Consider the following 21,141-nt stretch of genomic DNA (forward strand, 5'->3'; position numbering starts at 1 on the left):
TATATAAAAATTAGCTGGGCATGGTGGCTCATGTCCATAGTCCCAGCTACTCAGGAGGCTGCATCAGGAGGATCACTTGAGCCCAAGAAATCAAGGCTGCAGTGAGCCATAATTGCACCAACGCTCCCCAGCCTAGGCAACAGAAAAAGACCCTGTCAAAAAAAAAAAGAAAAGACAGGAAAGAGGGTGGGAGGGAAGGAGGGAGAAAGAGAGAGAAAGAAGGAAAGAAGGAAAGGAAGGGAGGAAGGAAGGAAGGAAGGAAGGAAAGAAAGAAAGAAAGAAAGAAAGAAAGAAAGAAAGAAAGAAAGAAAGAAAGAAAGAAAGAAAGAAAGGCAGGCGGGCAGGTGCGGTGGCTCATGCCTATAATCCAAACATTTTGGGAGGCTAATGCAGGCAGATTGCTTGAGCCCAGGAGTTCAATACCATCCTGGGCAACAAAGTGAAACCCTATCTCCATAAAAAACACCGTTTACCCAGGCATGGTAGTATGCACCTGTGGTTCCAGCTACTCAGGAGGCTGAGGTGGAGGATCGCTTGAGCCCAGGGAGCAGAGGTTGCAGTGAGCCAAGATCACACCACTGCACTCCAGCCTGGGTGACACAGGGAGACCCTATCTCAAAAAAAAAATAAAAAAGAAAAGAAGAAGGGAAAAAGAGAAGGCAAACAGGCAGGTAGGCAGGAAGAAACTAAAATTTGCTGAGTGCTTATACTGTGTAGGCATTACACTAAGTACTGTACATTTATTATCTAATTTACTCCTCTCAACCATTCTATAATGTGGGCAATGTCTGTGATTAATAGACCAGGAAACAGAAGCTCAGGGGATTAAGTGTAGAGCTGGGATTTGAACTCGGATTGGCATGACTGCAGAGTACCGCTCCGCAATCACCCTGGCTCTGCCACTCCTTCACCCAGAGTTTCTTCTCCAGCCCCTTCCCCAGGTCCTCTTCCTCTCTCTACCCCAGCTGGTGGAGCTAACGTTGGTCCTCTAAGCTTTTCTCTCTTGCTTGCTTCCCTCTGTCTCCTTTCTCTTTCTTCCTCTTTCTCACAGCATCACCACCCCTCAGTTTATTTATTTATTTTAATAGAGATGGTTCTTGCTATGTTGCGCAGGCTGGTCTTGAATTCCTGGGCTCAAGTGATCCTCCCACCCCAACTCCCCCCAGTCCTCCACCCACCCACAATAGCTAAGACTATAGGCACTCACCACCACGCCCGGCCACACCCCTCGGTTTACACAGCTCCTAAAAGGCGTTTGAATCTCCACTCCACCAGCTCCGCCCTTCCAACCCCAGGCTCTGCCTGTGAGCTCACTGCTCCCCCGTACCCCAGCTCCATCCCATCATCCAAGCCCCAACATGTATCATCTCTGTCTTGCTCTGTAGAAACCCAGATCCAGCCAAGCAGCCACTGAGCACACACCAAGTGCTGCTGGGTTTTCCTTGGAAGCTCGCCTGGCTGACCCGTTCTCTCTGTCCCCAGAGCTACTGCCTCACGCCAGCCAGCCTGTCCTGGGACAGCAACCTCCTGGCAACCTCCTGGCTAGCTTCTCCTTGGACTCCAGTCTCTCCCTTCTTCATCCATTGTGATTATAGCTCTTTGTTCTGTCACTCACTTGCTCAAAAACCTTTTGGGTCTCTCCACAGACCACCACATCGTTTAAACTCTTCAACACCGCTCTCAAGGATAAAACTCTGTAATTCATTCTCTATTAATGTACTTGACAAATGGTTATTAAGAGCTGACATTGGACTAGATAGAGCCTGCAGAGAGATTGGTGAATAAAACAGACATATTTCCTGCCCTGGCGGAGCATATAATCAACTGGGAGAAGAAAGGGGGAAAATATATAATTACAAGTAGTAGTAAGTGCTATTAATACAAATAGGTGTGATGATGGAGAACCATGGGGGGCCCCACACACCCACCTGGGTACAGTCAGGAAAGGGGCTTGCTAAGGAGGAGGGCTTTCATCTGAGACTGAAGGATGAGAGTTACTCACTCAGGGAGCAGAGCCCATGAGCATTCCAGGCAGTGGCCCTGGGATGGTAAAGAGTTTGGGACATAAAGAAAGTAAAAGAAGGCCAGTGTGGCTGGAGCATGGATGGAAAGAGATAGAGAATGGCACAGGGTGGAATTGGAGAGATGAGCAGGGGTCAAATCATGCAGAGCCTTGTAGGCTGATGTAAGGAATTTAGTTTTTTTCCTAACTCCAACAACAGGCCAGTGGAATGTCATTCCATTCAAATGATGGAATGACATTATCTGATTTAGGACTTAAAGATGACTCTAGGGAACTCCCAACAAAGGATGGAAGATTAGATTCTTTCTTCAACCTTGGGACATCACTAAGAATAATCAAACAAAACAAATAGAGAAAGGGTAAAAAGCCATGGTTAATGAAACTGATAAAACCCCAAGCTACAAATCACAAAAGGCATCTGCCGAATGTATCTCTGCAGGAAGCTAAGCAAGGACATTCAATGAGAGCAGAACATGCCACCCAAGCCCTTGGTGGAGCGCCCCGTAAAAGGAACCTACCTATTTGAGGTTGAGAAGAGGCTAAGGGAGAGGTCTCCCTGAGGAGACCGACTTTGACACCCCAAGACAGCAGGGAAGGGGGAGCTTAAGAAGAAACAATGCTGGCATGACATTCCTATTGCCTTGTCAGGGACACCACCAGAGATGAACTGGGATAAAGCAGGAGAGGAGACAGAGAGTGTCAGACCACATTCCACCAAGCATTGCTGTGATTCAACCTGGGGAAGCTGATTGGAAAAAAAAGAAAGAAAAGTTTTGCTGTGAAGCAACCCTGTCTGCCAAAAACTGAAAATGAAGAAAAGATGTATTCCCCACCCTCTACCGCCAAGTACCATGAAAGCCCACTACACTTCACTCCACTCTACCACAGCACCCTTCAGCAGATAACTAGCCCCACTCCAAGTAAATAATAATCAGAAAGGAATTAACTTGGGAACTTTGCTTTTAAATGCTCTTTTAAAAATGAGAGAAATGGGGCAGGTGCAGTGGCTCACGCCTGTAATCCCAGCACTTTGGGAGGCCAAGGCAGGAGGATGGCTGGAGCCCAAGAGGTCGAGGATGCAGGGAGCCATGACTGTACCACCGCATTCCAGCCTGGGCCACAGAGCAAGACCCTGTCTTAAAAAAAATAAGAGAGAGATAAATGGAGGAAAGAAACATAAGCAGCAAAAAATGAAGTATAATTATCAATATATCCAAATAAACTCAGGAAGAATTCTGACAAATACTTCTAAAGGAAAAAAAAACCTCATATAACATGACCTCTTCTTTAAAAAATAATTTTTAAAATAAACTCCTAGCCTTGAGCAATCCTCCCTTCTCGGCCACCAAAAGTACTGCGATTACAGGCATGAGCCACCGCACCCAGCCTTAAAAATAATTTTTAAAATGAGATACAAAGTTTCAGAGAAAAGATTATATAGCAAAAGAAGGTGAAGAAGAGAAAATTAGCAGATTTTAGAAAATAAATAAAAGGGAAAAAGTAAAACATTTCAAAGTTGAAGGCCATATTTTTTTTTTCTTTTTTCTATTTTCTGGCTTCTATAACTAAGAAGGTCACTTTTTTATTTTTTTGAGACAGAGTCTCGCTCTGTCACCCAGGCTGGAGTGCAGGGGCATGATCTCGGCTCAACGGCAACCTCCACCTGCCCAGTTCAAGCAATTCTCCTGCCTCAGCTTCCCGCGTAGCTGGGACTACAGGCATGCACCACCACACCCACCTAATTTTTGTATTTTTAGTAGAGTCGGGGTTTCACCATGTTGGCCAGGCTGGTCTCGAACTCCTGACATCAGGTGATCTACCGGCGTCAGCCTCCCAAAGTGCTAGGATTACAGGCGTGAGCCACCGTGCCTGTCCAAGAAGGCCATATTTTAAAATAGAATAAATGCAATGGAAAAAAAAAAGACTATAATGGATAAATTTCTGAAAATCATAAAAATGAAATGGAAGAACACAACAATGAAAATAGCATTATAGGAAGAATGAGAAATGTGGAAAACAGAAAAATCCAAATGATTTATAATTGATATTTTTGAAAAAGAGAACAAAGCATACGATAATGAATAAAATAATCTAAAATAAATACTTTCAAACATAAAATAAATAAAATAAAATAAATACTTGACTCCAGATCTAATGGACACACCCACCTTTTTTTTTTTTTTTTTTTTTTTTTTTTTTTTTTTTTTTTGAGATGGCCTCACTCTGTTGCGCAGGCTGGAGTGCAGTGGCACAATCATGGTTCACTGCAGCATTGACCTCCCTGGGCTCAGGTGATCCTCTCACCTCAGCCTCCAAGTAGCTGGGACTACAGGTGTGCACTACCATGCCTGGCTAATTTTTATTTTATTTATTTATTTTTTTTAAGACCGAGTCTCACTCTGTTGCCCTAATTGGAGTGCAGTGGCGCCATATCGGCTCACTGCAACCTCCGCCTGCTGGGTTCAAGCGATTCTCCTGCCTCAGCTTCCCAAGTAGCTGGGATTATAGGCACAAGCCACCACGTCCAGCTAATTTTTTATTTTTAGTAGAGATGGGGTTTCACCACGTTGGCCAGGCTGGTCTCAAACTCCTGACCTCAGGTAATCCGCCCGCCTCGGCCTCCCAAAGTGCTGGGATTACAGGATTAAGCCACCACGCCCAGCTAATATTTTTTTGTAGAGACAGGGTTTCCTCATGTTGCCCAGACTGGTCTCGAACTCCAGGCTCAAGTGCGCCACTGACCTTGGCCTCTCAAAGTGCTGGGATTACAGGTGTGAGCCACTGTTCCCAGCCAGGCACATCATGTTCTAAGAAAAGAAAATGATCCAGACTTATCAAAGCCAGGACATATTCTGATAAAGTTATTGCGTTAAGGAAAAATAGCTAGACTTCCATTTCTATCGATTATTTTTCTTTTCTTTCTTTTTTTCTTTTGTTTGTTTGGTTTTTTTTTTTATTTTCAACAGGGGCTTCTGCAATAGAATCTATCTGGTTAAAACATGACAGTGATACTTTTTTTATTTCACAGCTAAGTTCACATTAAAGTAAAGAAAACCCTTCTAGGCCCAAAGCGAAGGGGAAACTAAAAACCAATTAGGCGTGAGTTAATGCTACAGCTGTTCTTGGGAAGGGACGGTTTCTAATCTCAGAAAACAAGGGGCTTCAGTTTTCAAGGACCAATCGTGAAGAGATGGGTCCTTATAACTGCAAGTATCTGGGAATCCGAAAGCCACCTTACATGAAGCAAGGTGCCCCAAGTACCACTTTCTTGGTGAAAGAATGGGCTGAAAGAAAAAACCTCTCATGAGCAAAATGAGATTTCGAGGAAGCTTGTACGTCTTCGCCTGGGCTCTGGATGGAGAAAGTTTTCTTAGAGAAATTTTAACCTTGGGCCTGTCTTCATGCAGATTTGGGATTTTAGTTTACATGGCTGGAATGGTTCAGAAAACCCCAAAGCCAAGAAGTCAACATAAAAAGTAATACTAAACTGGTTTTGGCCTTGGGGCACTTGGGAAAAGCAAAACAAAATTACTTTGAAGACTTATACTCTTAAACCAGATTAACCAGGATTCCCCCAGCTAAAGCTGAGGTTGACATTTTTTAAATTAGATGAAATAGGCAGCTTTGCAGGAAAAAAAATTATATATATGTAAATTTTATATATATGTAAATTATTTATATGTAAAGCTGACCAACATTGACTAAGAAGGAGAAAATCTGAAGACCTATAATCATTAAAGAAATTGATTAGCAGTATAAATCTACCTAACAAAGATAAAATTGATGGTTTTCATAGACAAGTTTACCAAATAAGAAAAAAAATCCTTTTCCACGGTCTCCCTCTGATGCCAAGCCGAAGCTGGACTGTACTGCTGCCATCTCGGCTCACTGCAACCTCCCTGCCTGATTCTCCTGCCTCAGCCTGCCGAGTGCCTGCGATTGCAGGCGCGCGCCGCCACGCCTGACTGGTTTTTGTATTTTTTTGGTGGAGACGGGGTTTCGCTGTGTTGGCCGGGCTGGTCTCCAGCTCCTAACCGCGAGTGATCCGCCAGCCTCGGCCTCCCGAGGCGCCGGGATTGCAGACGGAGTCTCGTTCACTCAGTGCTCAATGGTGCCCAGGCTGGAATGCAGTGGCGTGATCTCGGCTCGCTACAACCACCTCCCAGCCGCCTGCCTTGGCCTCCCAAAGAGCCGAGATTGCAGCCTCTGCCCGGCCGCCACCCCGTCTGGGAAGTGAGGAGCGTCTCTGCCTGGCTGCCCATCGTCTGGGATGTGAGGAGCCCCTCTGCCTGGCTGCCCAGTCTGGAAAGTGAGGAGCGTCTCTGCCCGGCCGCCATCCCATCTAGGAAATGAGGAGCGTCTCTGCCCGGCCGCCCATCGTCTGAGATGTGGGAAGCGCCTCTGCCCCGCCGCCCCGTCTGGGATGTGATAAGCGCCTCTGCCCGGCCGCGACCCCGTCTGAGAAGTGAGGAGACCCTCTGCCTGGCAACCGCCCCGTCTGAGAAGTGAGGAGTCCCTCCGCCCGGCAGCCACCCCGTCTGAGAAGTGAGGAGCCCCTCCCTCCGTCAGCCACCCCGTCTGGGAAGTGAGGAGCGTCTCCACCCGGCAGCCACCCCCGTCCGGGAGGGAGGTGGGGGGGTCAGCCCTCCGCCCGGCCAGCCGCCCCGTCCGGGAGGTGCGGGGCGCCTCTGCCCAACCGCCCCTACTGGGAAGTGAGGAGCCCCTCTGCCCGGCCAGCTGCCCCGTCCGGGAGGGAGGTGGGGGGGGTCAGCCCCCCGCCCGGCCAGCCGCCCCGTCCGGGAGGTGAGGGGTGCCTCTGCCCGGCCGCCTCTACTGGGAAGTGAGGAGCCCCTCTGCCCGGCCACCACCCTGTCTGGGAGGTCTACCCAACAGCTCATTGAGAACCGGCCATGATGACAATGGCGGTTTTGTGGAATAGAAAGGGCGGAAAGGTGGGGAAAAGATTGAGAAATCGGATGGTTGCCGTGTCTGTGTAGAAAGTAGACATGGGAGACTTTTCATTTTGTTCTGTACTAAGAAAAATTCTTCTGCCTTGGGATCCTGTTGATCTGTGACCTTACCCCCAACCCTGTGCTCTCTGAAACATGTGCTGTGTCCACTCAGGGTTAAATGGATTAAGGGCGGTGCAAGATGTGCTTTGTTAAACAGATGCTTGAAGGCAGCATGCTCATTAAGAGTCAACACCACTCCCTAATCTTAAGTACCCAGGGACACAAACACTGCAGAAGGCCGCAGGGTCCTCTGCCTAGGAAAACCAGAGACCTTTGTTCACTTGTTTATCTGCTGACCTTACCTCCACTATTGTCCTATGGCCCTGCCAAATCCCCCTCTGCGAGAAACACCCAAGAATGATCAATTAAAAAATAAATAAATAAATAAATTTAAAAAAAAAAAAAACAAAAGTCAGCCAAAAAAAAAAAGAAAAAAAAATCATACAAACTTAAATTTCCAGAAAATAGAAAAAGGAAATACTGCCCATATGTGGCATATATAAAATAACCTTTATGGTAGAGACTGCTAATTGTCCTATTACCTATTCTCCCCTTGTCTTTCACAGCAAAAGAATCTTTGCTTTTAAGTTCAAATAAAGGCCACACTTCCCAGCCTTCCTTGCAGCTGAGTGTAGCCATATGACTAAGTTCTGGCCAAGAGAAGTAGAAATGGGGTATGCAAGTTTTGATTCATGCTCAAAAGTCAGAGACATGCCGTTTCTTCACCCTGCCACTTAGAAAGTACATGAGCTATTTGGACCATACGAACTAGGGGTGGTTAAGCAGAACCACCAAACCAGCCCTGGACCACCAACCTCCAGATAATACAGGACAGAAAAAAAAAACTTCCCTCTCATTCACGTCACCACTATTTTTGGTATCCGTTACATACAGCCAAACCCATGTACCAAGCAGATCATCCTACATACCAACACCAGAAATGTATCGTATGAGAAAGGAAAATTGAGACCCAATCTCACTTATGATTATAGATGCAAAATCCTAAATAAACTGTTAGCAAATGGAATCAAGTATTATACTTAAGAAAAATTATGACTAAGTTGGGTTTATGTCATGATTGCAGGGATGACTTTAACATTAGAAAATACATTAATGTAAGTCTCCACATTAAGAGATTAAAAATTAAAACCATATGATGATGCCAGAATAAATTCAATACCCATTTATAATAATAACGCTTAATAATCTAGGAATAGAAAGGAACATCTTGACCAACAAGCAAAAACCTACTGCAATCTTATTTTTTTTTTTTTAGTGGGGTTTCACCACGTTGCCCTCACTGGTCTCAAACTCCTGAGCTCAAAGGATCCACCTACCTCGGCCTCCCAAAGTGCTGGAATTACAGGCATGAGCCACCACACCCAGCCTGCAATCTTATTCTTAACATTAAATTATTCTTAACAGTAAATGAATGAACAGTAAATGCTTTAAAATTGTTCCTGTTAAAGTCAAACACAAGGAAAGGATTCTTGCTATTATCACTTTATTCAACATTAATTTGAAGGTTCTGACCATTACACTAAGGAAAACATTTTTTCAAGGTCTAAGGATTGGAAAAAAACAAGGATATGATACAATTGCCTCCAGAGAAGAAACAAGCAGGGCAAAACACAAGGCCTATCAGGATAAAAAGCTGATGCAAGTAAGTCGGGGGCTGATCTGAGGCAACAAGCTTCCTCCCACTGCAAATCCACAGAGCTGGAGGTTTAAATCCAGGGAGACTGCCTTTTCCCAGAGCTGCTTTTTATTTTTTTATTTTTTTATTTTTTTTCCACATGTATGAGTGAATATTTTATTTTTTTATTTTGTATATATATAGATAGATTTTTATTATACTTTAAGTTCCAGGGTACATGTGCACAACATAAAGCTTAAAGGCAAATTCCCATCCAGGATGTTGCCCAGCGGAATGACCGCAAACAAAATGGTGACACTAGTTCTGCAGTGCCTTTGGCTGTCCACACTGAGGATTTCCCCCAATACCTCCAGATGCAGTAGCTGAGAACAACCCCCACTCCAGCCCAGGAAACACAGGCTCACAAGCCAAAATCACCAGAACCTGAGATGTACAGAAATTGTAACAAAATACCCCCCAAAAAGACCAACATGAACCATTTGAAGCATAGTTATTGAAACTGGTAGACCAAAAAGTTAAATTAAGGTAATAAAATCCTCAAAAAGATAAAGGAGAGATTAGTGATAGAAATAAAAACAAGAAGTCATAAAAAAATAACTGTCCAGGCGCAGTGGCTCACGCCTGTAATCCCCGCACTTTGGGAGGCAGAGGCGGGCAGATCACAAGGTCAAGAGATCAAGACCATTCTAGCCAACATGGTGAAACCCCGTCTCTACTAAAAATGCAAAAATTAGCCGGGTGTGGTGGTGTGAGCCTGTAATCCCAGCTACTCAGGAGGCTGAGGCAGGAGAATTGCTTGAACCCAGGAGGCAGAGGTTGCAATGCACCAAGATCGTGCCACTGCACTCCAGCCTGGGTGACAGAGTGTCAATAAAATAATAATAAAATAAAATAAAGAGCATAATCATTGGGAAAAATAAAAGATGGCTACAACTGGAGAATAAATGGATGAGCTAAATGATCAGACTGAGAAACTCTCCCAGAAGGCAGAAGTAGAGAACAAAGAGAATATTTTTAAAGGAGCTAAGTGCTATGGAGAATAGAAGTAGAGTGCTCATATCAGGATAACAGGATTCCCCAGACAGGGAATTAAAAAAAAAAAAAACAGAGAGGAGGAAATAATGAAGTAATAACATTGAAACACTTCTGAGAATTAGAGAAAAAGATCTCAGATAGAAAGGGCTCATAGAATGCTAAATAGGGTAACTGAGGAAAAAAACACATTTAGACTCATATTGAAGTGGAAGAAGATCAAATTCAATTAAAACTCTGAACATTTCCAAAAGCAATAGATTGCCTACAAAGGAATTGAGAAGTAGGTCCGTTGTGCACTGGTTTCAACCTGTCTGAGTCAAGTTAAACAGACACACACAGACACACTCAAGTTACATGAAGCAGGTTTATTACTTACAGATTGAAAGCAGGGGACAACAGAAGCCTCAGATTCATGGCAGGCTGGTACCCCAAGGCTCAGAAAAGCTGCCCAGGAACTACCAGTCATACTGGATTAGAAAAAGAGGAAAAAAAGAAAAAAGAAAAGCTGCCCAGGGCAGATGGAGTCTCAGTTACATGTGCCCCACTTGCATCTCAGCTGAGGGACTCCAAAAAGCATCCTAAGGCTGGGCATGGTGGCTCACGCCTGTAATCCCAGCACTTTAAGAAACTGAGGCAGGAGGATTGCTTGAGGCCAGCAGTTTGAGACCAGCCTGGGGAATATAATGAGACTCCATCTCTAGAAAATAAAAAACAGGCCAGGCGCGGTGGCTCATGCCTGTAATCCCTGTAATCCAACACTTTGGGAGGCCAAGGCAGGCGGATCACCTGAGGTCAGGAGTTTGAGACCAGCCTGGCCAACATGGTGATACTCCCATCTCTACTAAAAATACAAAAAAATTAGCTCGATGTGGTGGTGGGCACCTGTGATCCCAGCTACTTGGGAGGCTGGGGCACAAGAATCGCTTGAACACGGGAGACAGAGGTTTTAGTGAGCAGAGATCGGGCCACTGCACTCCAGCCTGGGCAACAGAGTGAGACTCCGTCTCAAAAAAAAAAGAAAAGGAAAAAGAAAAAAATCAGCTGGGCATGGTGGCACACACCTGTACCCCCAGCTACTTGGGGGACTGAGGAGAACAGATTTCTTGAGCCCAGGAGTTCAAGGCTGCATGAGCCGTGATTATGCCACTGCACTCCAGCCTGGACCACAGAGCGAGACCCTGTCTCAAAAAACAAAACAAAAAAAGCAGCCTGCCCTGGATTTACACCCCTGGGGCAATGTGACATGCTTGGCTAATGAGTTGAAGGACATCCTGTTTCTAGGGGTTACTGGAACGGGGCCCAGGCTGTTCACCAGTCCCTCTTTATCTCGGGATGTTGTATCTCAGCCCATTCTACAGTTATTCCTGAGAGCTCCAAGTGATAAAGGGGAGATAACTGGATAAGGCCAAGGCCATGGGGAGAACTGTCCTGCAGGAACACGAATCAAATTGACATCAGACTTCTCAATAGAAACACTGAATACAAGAAAGTGGCAAGGTTTGTAAGTACTGAAAGAAATTTTAGGCTAGGTGCAGTGGCTCACCCAGTTAATCCCAGCACTTTGGGAGGCTGAGGTGGGAGGTTCACCTGAGGTCCAGACCAGCCTAGCCAACACATTGAAACCCCATCTGTACTAAAAATACAAAAATTAGCCGGACGTGGTGACATGCCCCTGTAATCCCTAACTACTCAGGAGGCTGAGGCACAAGAATTTCTTGAGCCTAGGAGCCTAAGGTTGCAGTGAACCAAAATTGCGCCATTGCACTCCAGCCTGGGAGACAGAGCAAGATTCTATCTCAAAAAAAAAAAGAGAGAGAGAGAGAGAGAGAAAGAAAGAAAAAAAAATTCTGTGTAGCCAAATAGTCATTCAAATTTGAAAATATAGTAAAAAATATTCTCGGCCAGGCGTGGTGGCTCATGCCTGTAATCTCAGCACTTTCAGAAGCCGAGGCGGGCAGATCACCTGAGGTCAGGAGTTACAGACTAGCCAGACTAGCCTGGCCAACATGATGAAACCCCATCTCTACTAAAAATACAAAAATTAGTCGGGCATGGTGGCGCGTGCCTGTGGTCCTAGCTACTCAGAAGGCTGAGGCAGGAGAATTGCTTGAACCCGGGGAGGCAGAGGCTGCAGTGAGCTGAGATTGCGCCACTGCACTCCAGCCTGGGTGACAGAGCAAGACTCTGTCTCAAAAACAAAAAAAAAATTATCGCATTACAAAAGCCTCAGAATGTTTGTCACACAAAGACCTACATTTACAGTTCTCAAAGTATCCAAATAAGAAGAGAAATAAGTTCAAGAGGATAGGATGATGCCTGCAATATAGGAAATAAACATGATTAAATGACATAATAAAATTGAATATCAACAAAAGCTAAAAGGGGGAGAGAGTCTGAGAAAGAAGAGGTGGAGGAGAGTGAGAGATAATCAGAATGGAATGATTGGTTGGAGAGTAGAGTCTCTAGTTACTGTGTCATATATTTGCAGCTGGACTCCGTCCCATAGATGAGCTGAAGCAAAAGGACCTTCACACAGAACTTTTATCATCAGCCTGAGGAAAAGTACTCGAAGGACAAGGCCATTGGTTGGGAACTTACACCAAAAAAAAAAAAAGAAAAAAAACCTGAATTATAGATACTATGAATATGATGAAAATAAGCAGAACGGACCGGGTGCAGTGGCTCACACCTGTAATCCCAGCACTTTGGGAGGCCGAGGCAGACAGATCACCCGAGGTCAGGAGTTCGAGACCAGCCTGGCCAACCATGGCCAACATGGTGAAGCCCCGTCTCTACTAAAAATACAAAAATTAGCCAAGCACAGTGGCGCACACCTGTAATCCCAGCTACTCGGGAAGCTGAGGCAGAATTGCTTGAACCCAGGAGGCAGAGGTTGCAATGAGCCAAGATCGTACCACTGCACTTCAGCCTGGGAGACAGTGCAAGACCCCATCTCAAAAAAAAAAAAAGAGGAAGGAAAAGACAAGACTGATGGGATAGGAGGGTGTGAAAGGAACTTTATTATTAGGAAGAATATAAATAATTAAAAATTATTCAATGAAGTAGCATAAAGTCAAATTAAAGCAACTACATTAACAAGAAAATAGAATGTATAGTTTTCAAAACATGAGAAGAATGTTGGCTCTATGTAATGGAAAGTAACAAAGGTGGGGAAAGAAACAACAAAGAAGGCACAGTACATGAAAAATATAAAATTAAATGGCAGAATAAGTCCTAATATTATAGTAATTGTAATAAAGATGGGTAAAGTAAACACACTTCTTAAAAGACAAACGTTCCTGGGTTGAGTTTCTTCCTTAAGGTTCAGCAATATGTTGCATACAAGAGAAACACTGAAAATAAAAAAACTTTATCACGGGCTGGGCGCAGTGGCTTATGCCTATAATCCCACCACTTTGGGAAGCCAAGGCAGGCGGTTCACCTGAGGTCAGGAGTTCGAGACCAGCCTGACCAACATGGAGAAACCTCATCTCTACTAAAAATACAAAAAAATTAGCCAGGCGTGGTAGCACATGCCTATAATCCCAGCCGCTCGGGAGGCTGAGGCAGGAGAATCGCTTGAATCTAGGAGGTGGAGGTTGCAGTGAGCCAAGATCACACCATTGCACTCCAGCCTGGGCAACAAGAGTGAAACTCCATCTGAAAAAAAATAAAAAACCATTTCAAATATTTAAACAAGAAAATAGAAGGAATAAACAAAAGGAAGAAAATACATGAAGCAAATATAAACCAAAAAAAAATCAGGGAAGTAATTTTAATATTTGACAAAAGAGGATACAAGAGGAAAAATATAAAAGACAAAGAATGAGGTAATACAAGAAAATACAAACACCAGGAACATAAAAGCACCTACTCATATAGCCTCAAAATATATAAAACAACAACTGATAAAATTTCTGAGGCTGGGTGTGGTGGCTCATGCCTATAATCCCAGCATTTAGAGAGGCCAGGGTGGGAGGACTGCTTGAGCCCAGGAGTTCCAAGACCAGCCTGGGCAGAATAGTGGGACCTCATCGCTATTAAAAAATAATAATAATTAATTAAAAATTAAAAAGAAAAAATGTTTTTTGGAAGAAATAGATTAATTATGGTTAGAGATTTTTTACACACCTTTCTCTGAAACTGGTTGATCAAGGAGACAAAAATAAGCAGAGGTATAAAATAGCTGTATAATATCATTGGTAAATTCAAGCTATTGGGCTGGCCATGGTGGCTCATTCCTGTAATCCCAGAACTTTGGAGGGCCAAGATGGGTGGATCACCTGAGGTCAGGAGTTCCAGACCAGCCTGGCCAACATGGCAAAACCCCATCTCAACTAAAAATACAAAAATTAGTTGGGCATGGTGGTGGGCACCTGTAGTCCCAGCTACTAGGGAGGCTGAGGCAGGAGGATCACTTGAACCCAGGAGGCAGAGGTTGCAGTGAGCCGAGATCACACCACCACACTCCAGCCTGGGCAACAGAGCGAGACTCCACCTCAACAACAACAACAAAAAATTTAAGCTATTGGTGTATATAGAATTTCACACCCAACAAAGAGAAAATACATAATCTTTTCTAGCATGTATGTATCACGTAATATTGAATATGTTGGATGCTATAAAGAAAGCCTTGAAAAATTTCAGAGACTCACTATTATCAGATTAAGGCCAGATGTGTTGGCTCACACCTATAATCCCAGCACTTTGGGAAGCTGAAGCAGGAGGATCGCTTGAGCCCAGGAATTCGAGGCTGCAGTGAGTTATGATTGTGCCATTGCACTCCAGCCTGGGCAACAGAGCAAAACGCTGTCTCAAAAAAAAAAAAAAAAAAAAAAAAAAGGGCCACCTGTAATCCCACCACTTTGGGAGCCCAAGGAGGGCAAATCACAAGGTCAGGAGATCAAGACCATCCTGGCTAACACGGTGAAACCCTGTCTCTACTAAAATTAGCCGGGTGTGGTGGCAGGCGCCTGTAGTCCCACCTACTCAGGAGGCTGAGGCAGGAGAATGGCATAAACCTGGGAGGTGGAGCTTGCAGTGAGCTGCCATCACGCCACTGCATTCCAGCCTAGGCGACAGAGCGAGACTCCATCTCAAAAAAAAAAAAAAAAGTTTGCAATATTATACAGATTATGTTTTTCTGACTGCAATGCAACAAAATTTTTAAATTAATAGATAATAACGGCCAAGTGCGGTGGCTCACGCCTGTAATCTCAGCACTTTGATAGGCCGAGGCTGGCAGATCACCTGAGGTCAGAAGTTCAAGACCAGCCTGGCCAACATGGTGAAACCCTGTCTCTACTAAATATACAAAAAATTAGCTGGGCATGGTGGTGAGCGCCAGTAATCCCAGCTACTCAGGAGGCTGAGGCAAGAGAATCGCTTGAACCTGGGAGGCAGAGGTAGCAGTGAGCCAAGATCGAGCCATTGCACTCCAGCCTGGGCAACAGGGCAAGAGTCCGTCTCAAACAAACAAAAATAGATAATAAAATAGTTTTAAAATAAATCACCCAAAAAACTGAAAACAGCCCAATGTCCATCAATAGGACTATAGATAAATAGGGTATTTTCATACAATGAAATATGATAGAGTAGTAAAAATGAATGAACTCCATCAATATAAATCTTAAAATAAATCTCTTATTTTATCTGGGCACGGTGGCTGACACCTGTAATCCCAGCACTTTGGGAGGCCAAGGTGGGTGGATCACCTGAGGTCAGGAGTTCAAGACCAGCCTAACCAACATGGAGAAACCCCGTCTCTACTAAAAATACAAAATTAGCTGGGCGTGGTGGTGCAGGCCTGTAATCCCAGCTACTCAGGAGGCTTAGGCAGGAGAATCGCTTGAACCTAGGAGGCAGAGGTTGCAGTGAGCCCAGATTGAGCCATTGCGCTCCAGCCTAGGCAACGAGAGTGAAACTCCATCTCAAATAAATAAATAAATAAGTAAAATCTTATTTTAAACAAGAGAGGAAGTTGCAGAAGAATTTATATGCTATGATACCATTTATGTAAAGTGCAAAAACATGCAATACTAAATAAAATATTGTTTAAAAATTAGCTGGGCGTGGTGGCGGGCGCCTGTAATCCCAGCTACTTGGGAGGCTAAGGCAGGAGAATCACTTCAACCTGGGAGGCAGAGGTTGCAGTGAGCCGAGATTGTGCCACTGCACTCCAGCCTGGGCAACACAACAAGACTCCATCTCAATAATAATAATAATAATAATATATTGTTTAGAAATTTGTACACATGTGATCAAAAAATTTTTCAATCAAGGGGATCATAAATACACAGTTCAGGATAGTGACTACAGCTGTGGAAAGTGCAAGTACAATACGGAAGTGTACACAGAGGCCTTTAACTGGATCTGTAAGTTTTAGTTATTTATTTAAAGCAATCTAACTCAAATATAGAAAAATGTCCAACTTCAACAAAGCTTATGATTAGATATTGTGTTATTTTCTGTACTTTTCTGTACCTTTGAAATACTTCATCATTAGAACAATAGGAAAAGAAAAAGAATCTTTAAAAAGGAAGAGCATCCATGAACAGAAAGCAAGCTGTGTATCAGGGAGGAGAGTCCAGTTCCCCTGAGATTTTCCCATGAAACACACAATGTCAGCAAACAGTAGAGAGAAGGTTACAGGGCTCAGAGAGAAAGGGTGACCCAAGAATTGTATTCCCTGCCAAGCTGCAACAGACTCGAGTTGAAAGAAACAACTCAGGGAATACATAAAACAAGGGCCCTTTGAAATTCAACCAACCAAATAATAAATCACATTAAGGATGCAGGAATTAAGAAACCAAGCTAAACGCTCTGTCTGTGAGCATCGCATTCAGAGAACTGAAGCTAAACTTACATGGAAATCACGGTTACAAGACAGAATGTAAATACTGTATACATAATATAACTATCAGATAGTGCTACTCTGGGGTACAGGAAATGGAAGTGTAAATGTATTATTTTCCTCATCCCCCTGGAAGAATTCGTAAGTCACCGTCTAAAATGAAAACGTGTAGTAAGGGCCGGGCAAAGTGGCTCATGCTTGTAATCCCAGCACTTTGGGAGGCCGAGGTGAGCAGATCACCTGAGCTCAGGAGTTTGAGACCAGCCTGGCCAACATGGTGAAATCCTGTCTCTACTAAAAGTATTTTAAAAAAAATTAGCTGGGCATGTATTAGCTGGGCATGTATTAGCAGACACGTGTAATCCCAGCTACTCAGGAGGCTGAGGCAAGAGGATTGCTTGAACCCGGGAGGCAGAGGTTGCAGTGAGCCGAGATCGGGCCACTGCACTCCAGCCTGAGCGACAGACTCCATCTCAAGAGAAAAAAAAAATTACCTGAAGTTCAATATTTTGTTCATTTTCCCTTTGGCTAACTACAAGTAAAATAATTTAAATTGTACTTTTTTGATAAATAACATTTATTATGATCTACTTTCATAACTTTTTTTTTTCCAGGATGGAGTCTTGCTCTGTCACCCAGGCTGGAGTGCAGTGGCATGATCTCGGCTCACTGCAACCTCCGCCTCCCAGGTTCAAGCAATTCTCCTGCCTCAGCCTCCAGAGTAGCTGGAATTACAGGCATGCCCACCACACCCAGCTAATTTTTGTTTTAGTAGAGACGGGATTTCACCATGTTGGCGAAGCTGGTCTTGAACTCCTGACCTCAAGTGATCCATCCACCTCGGCCTCCCAAAGTGCTGGGATTACAGTCGTAAGCCACTGCACCCAGCCTGAAGCACATTTTTAAAGAATGATTCTGGCTGCTATATGAGTATATAAGGTGAGTATGTTCCTATAAAGGAACAAGGGGAGATGCTTGGAATGTCTAAGTAAGAGACAACCATGATTCTGATCAATATGGTAGCAGTAGAAGTGGAAAGAGGGATTAATTCTGGATATGTTTTGAAGATGGAACTAGCAGGATTTCAAAACAGACAAGATGTGGGATGCGAAATATAGAAAGGAAGAATGAATGGCTCCATGCTGACAACAGAGCTGCCAGCGAACCAGAGCACGAAGAGCAGGTTGAGGACAAAAGGGGCATATGGAGTCTGCATTTGGACGTGCCTTTTGGACAGACCCTCTTCTCACTCCATGCTTGCCATGGGCAAGCTCATCCGTGCCCAGTACTTAGGTTACCATCTAAATGTTTCTGACTCCCAAATTGCCAATCCAGCCCTCCCCCATGAACTCTAGATGTGGATATCCAACTATCCTTTTTTTTTTTTTTTGAGATGGAGTCTCACTCTGTCATCCAGGCTGGAGTGCAGTGGCGTGATCTCAGCTCACTGCAACCTCTGCCTCCTGGGTTCAAGCAATTTTCCCACCCCAACCTCCCGAGTAGCTGGGATTACTGGTGCATGCTTAGTAGAGATGTGGTTTCACCATGTTGCCAAGGCTGGTTTCAAACTCCTGGCCTCAAGTGATCCACCTGCCTCAGCCTCTCAAATTGCTGGGATTACAGGCATGAGCCACCGCACCTGCCGTGCACCCCCCAACTACCATTTTGTCATCACCACATCACTATCCCAAAGGGATGTCTGAAACTAAACTTGCAGTGTCCACATGTCCTCCTTCCCCACTCACTCTGAAAAAGGGTTCTGGGCCTTTCCCAGCATTGCCTGTATCAATGAATGGCACTACCATTCTGGCTGCACAAGCCAGATATATGGAAGTTGCCTGGACACCTTCCTCTCTCTGGTCCATCAGATTCAGTTCATAAGCAAGGCCTGACTTTTTTACCCCTTACATTTCTCCCAAATCCATCCCATTGTTACATCTCTCCACCAGCCCCATTCCTCAGGACTCACTGTCCTCTTTCTTGCTTTGTTTTTCTCCATATGCCATATGATTTTCTTGTCTGCTTACTGATTGTATATCTCCACCCGAGTGGACTGAGTTCTGTGACGGCAGAGACAGAACAGTGCCTGAGGCTGGGAGTGGTGGCCCATGCCTGTAGTCCCAGCACTTTGGGAGACCGAGATGGGCAGATCACTTGAGCCCAGGAGTTCAAGACCAGCCTGGGAAACATGGCAAAACCCTGTCTCTACAAAAAAATAGTAAAAAATAAAAATTAGCCGGGTGTGGTGGCAGCACGCCTGTAGTCCCAGCTACTCAGGAGGCTGAGGTGGGAGGATCACCTGAATCTGAGAAGTTGAGACCTCAGTGAGCTGTAATTGGGCCACTGTACTACAGCCTGGTTTACAAAGAAAGACTCTGTCTTAAAAAAAAAAAAAAAAAAAGCTGGGCATGGTGGCTCACAACTGTAATCCCAGCACTTTGGGAGGCCAAGGTGGGTGGATCATCTGAGATCAGATGTTCAAGACCAGCCCGGTCAACACGGCGAAACACCGTCTCTACTAAAAATGTAAAAATTAGCCGAGCATGGTGGCAGGTGCCTGTAATCTCAGCTACTCCGGAGGCTGAGGCAGGAGAATCGCTTGAACCCAGGAGGCAGAGGTTGCAGTGAGCCAAGATCACGCCACTGCACTCCAGCCTGGGCAACAGAGTGAGAATCTGCCTCATAAAACAAAAAATAAAAAATAGAACAGTGCCTGGCACATAGTGACCACTGCATAAGTATATGTTGATTGAATGCATGATACATGAGTCCTCACTGTCACCACCCTAGTGCTCAGGAGACAATCACAGTTAAGAACAGAAGCTCTGAAATCAGAGCGTCCGGGTTCCACCACTTATCAGTTCTATGATCTGCAGCAACTTATGTAACTTTTCTGCACCTTGGTTTCCTCATCTGTAAAATGAAAATAATGGAAGTCCTTACTTCATAAGCTCATAAGGATTAGGGAGTTAATACATGCAAAATACTCAGAATAGCACTTGGTATAAAGTAAGTACTCAACAAATATTAGGTGTTATTTTTTGCCTCCTAGCTGATCCTCCTGAATCTGTTCTGCCCCTCTTGATCTTTTCCGTATTGCAGACTGAGTGTAATTTTCCAAAAGGCAAATCTATGTCACATGCACAAGCACACACACACACACACACACATTCTCACATCACTAGAAAAACCATTCCTTGGTTTTTGTGTCCCCCAAGGCCTTGCCTACTTCTCCAGCCTTGCCTACTTCTCCATCCTTGCCTGGTACCTCTCTCCTCCTTGCTCTTGAGCTTCAGCCATGCCTGCTCTCTCTCAGTTACAAACTCATCATGCTCCCTCCTGCCATAGGGCCTTTGCCCATGATGGACCCTCTATCTGGAAAGTCCTTTTCCTCCTCAACTCCACTCTCACCTGCTCCCTTTGCATGGATAACTTACGCTTATCTTTCAGATCTCAGCTCAAGTGTCCCTTCCACAAGGATCTTCCCACACAAACGCTAAGTCAAGTTTCTTTGTTAAAAATTCCTACAAATGTGATCCTTTAGAAGTTATCTCAATTTGTAATTATCCACTTGTTTATGTGACCATGTGGCTGTCTGCTGACTCTTCCTCCAACTTGTAAGCCCCATAAAATCAGAAAGCATGTCTGTTTCTACTCTTTTTGCTATAGCATCTACTGTGTCTGGCATGTACAAGGTACGTTATTCTTTTTGTTTCGTTTTTTTGTTTTTTTGAGATGGAGTCTCGCTCTGTCGCCCAGGCTGGAGTGCGGTGGGGCGATCTTGGCTCACTGCAGCCTCCGCCTCCTGGGTTCAAATGATTCTCCCACCTCAGCCTCCCAAGTAGCTGGGATTACAGGCGTGCACCACCACGCCCGGCTAATTTTTGGGGGTTTTTTTTGTTTTTTGGTTTTTTTTAGTAGAGACGGCATTTCTTCACATTGGCCAGGCTGGTCTCAAACTCCTGCCCTCATGGTTTGCCCACCTCTGCCTCCCAAAGTGCTGGGATTACAAGTGTGAGCCACCACGCCTGGCCTTAAGGTACTTTATTCTTACTGAATGAATAAATGAGTCTGCAGCAGAAACAACACAGCCACTATACAGGGCCTCTGAGGGACACTCTTAGTCCTCCATAATTATTGGGGCCAAAACCGGACAAGAACCTCTGCCCTTTGGGCAGTCCACACAGAGTTAGTAAAAGATGGGGTCTGAGTCACAAGTCTCCTGATCATCAACAGTGAGTCCTTGGCTGAGTCACATCACCTCTCTGAACCTTGACATCTTCATGTGTAAAATGTGGGTCATGATACTTATCTCACTGCAGTTGTTAAGAGGAACAAAAAAACCTTGAATGTGAAAGTGCTCATTAAAACTTTTGCCAGGCGGGCGTGGTGGCTCACATCTGTAATCCTAGCACTTTGGGAGGCCGAGGCGGGCAGCTCACAAAGTCAGGAGTTTGAGACCAGCCTGACCAATAATGGTAAAATCCCATCTCTACTAAAAATACAAAAAAATCAGCCGGGCATGGTGGCAGGTGCCTGTAATCCCAGCTACTCTGGAGGC

General features: G+C 44.6%; 2 annotated features.

The window, feature by feature from the left end:
* Nucleotides 1,519-2,317: an enhancer, noted in NCBI's record as "H3K27ac-H3K4me1 hESC enhancer chr1:153550484-153551282 (GRCh37/hg19 assembly coordinates)". NCBI's record gives its function as "activates a minimal SCP1, AML or CMV promoter by ChIP-STARR-seq in naive H9 embryonic stem cells {active_cell/tissue: H9 hESC(naive)}" and the evidence as "EXISTENCE:reporter gene assay evidence [ECO:0000049][PMID:30033119]".
* Nucleotides 6,594-7,518: an enhancer, noted in NCBI's record as "NANOG-H3K27ac-H3K4me1 hESC enhancer chr1:153555559-153556483 (GRCh37/hg19 assembly coordinates)". NCBI's record gives its function as "activates a minimal SCP1, AML or CMV promoter by ChIP-STARR-seq in naive H9 embryonic stem cells {active_cell/tissue: H9 hESC(naive)}" and the evidence as "EXISTENCE:reporter gene assay evidence [ECO:0000049][PMID:30033119]".

The sequence above is a fragment of the Homo sapiens genome, chromosome 1 (assembly GCF_000001405.40).
Source record: "Homo sapiens chromosome 1, GRCh38.p14 Primary Assembly".
Taxonomy (NCBI): domain Eukaryota; kingdom Metazoa; phylum Chordata; class Mammalia; order Primates; family Hominidae; genus Homo; species Homo sapiens.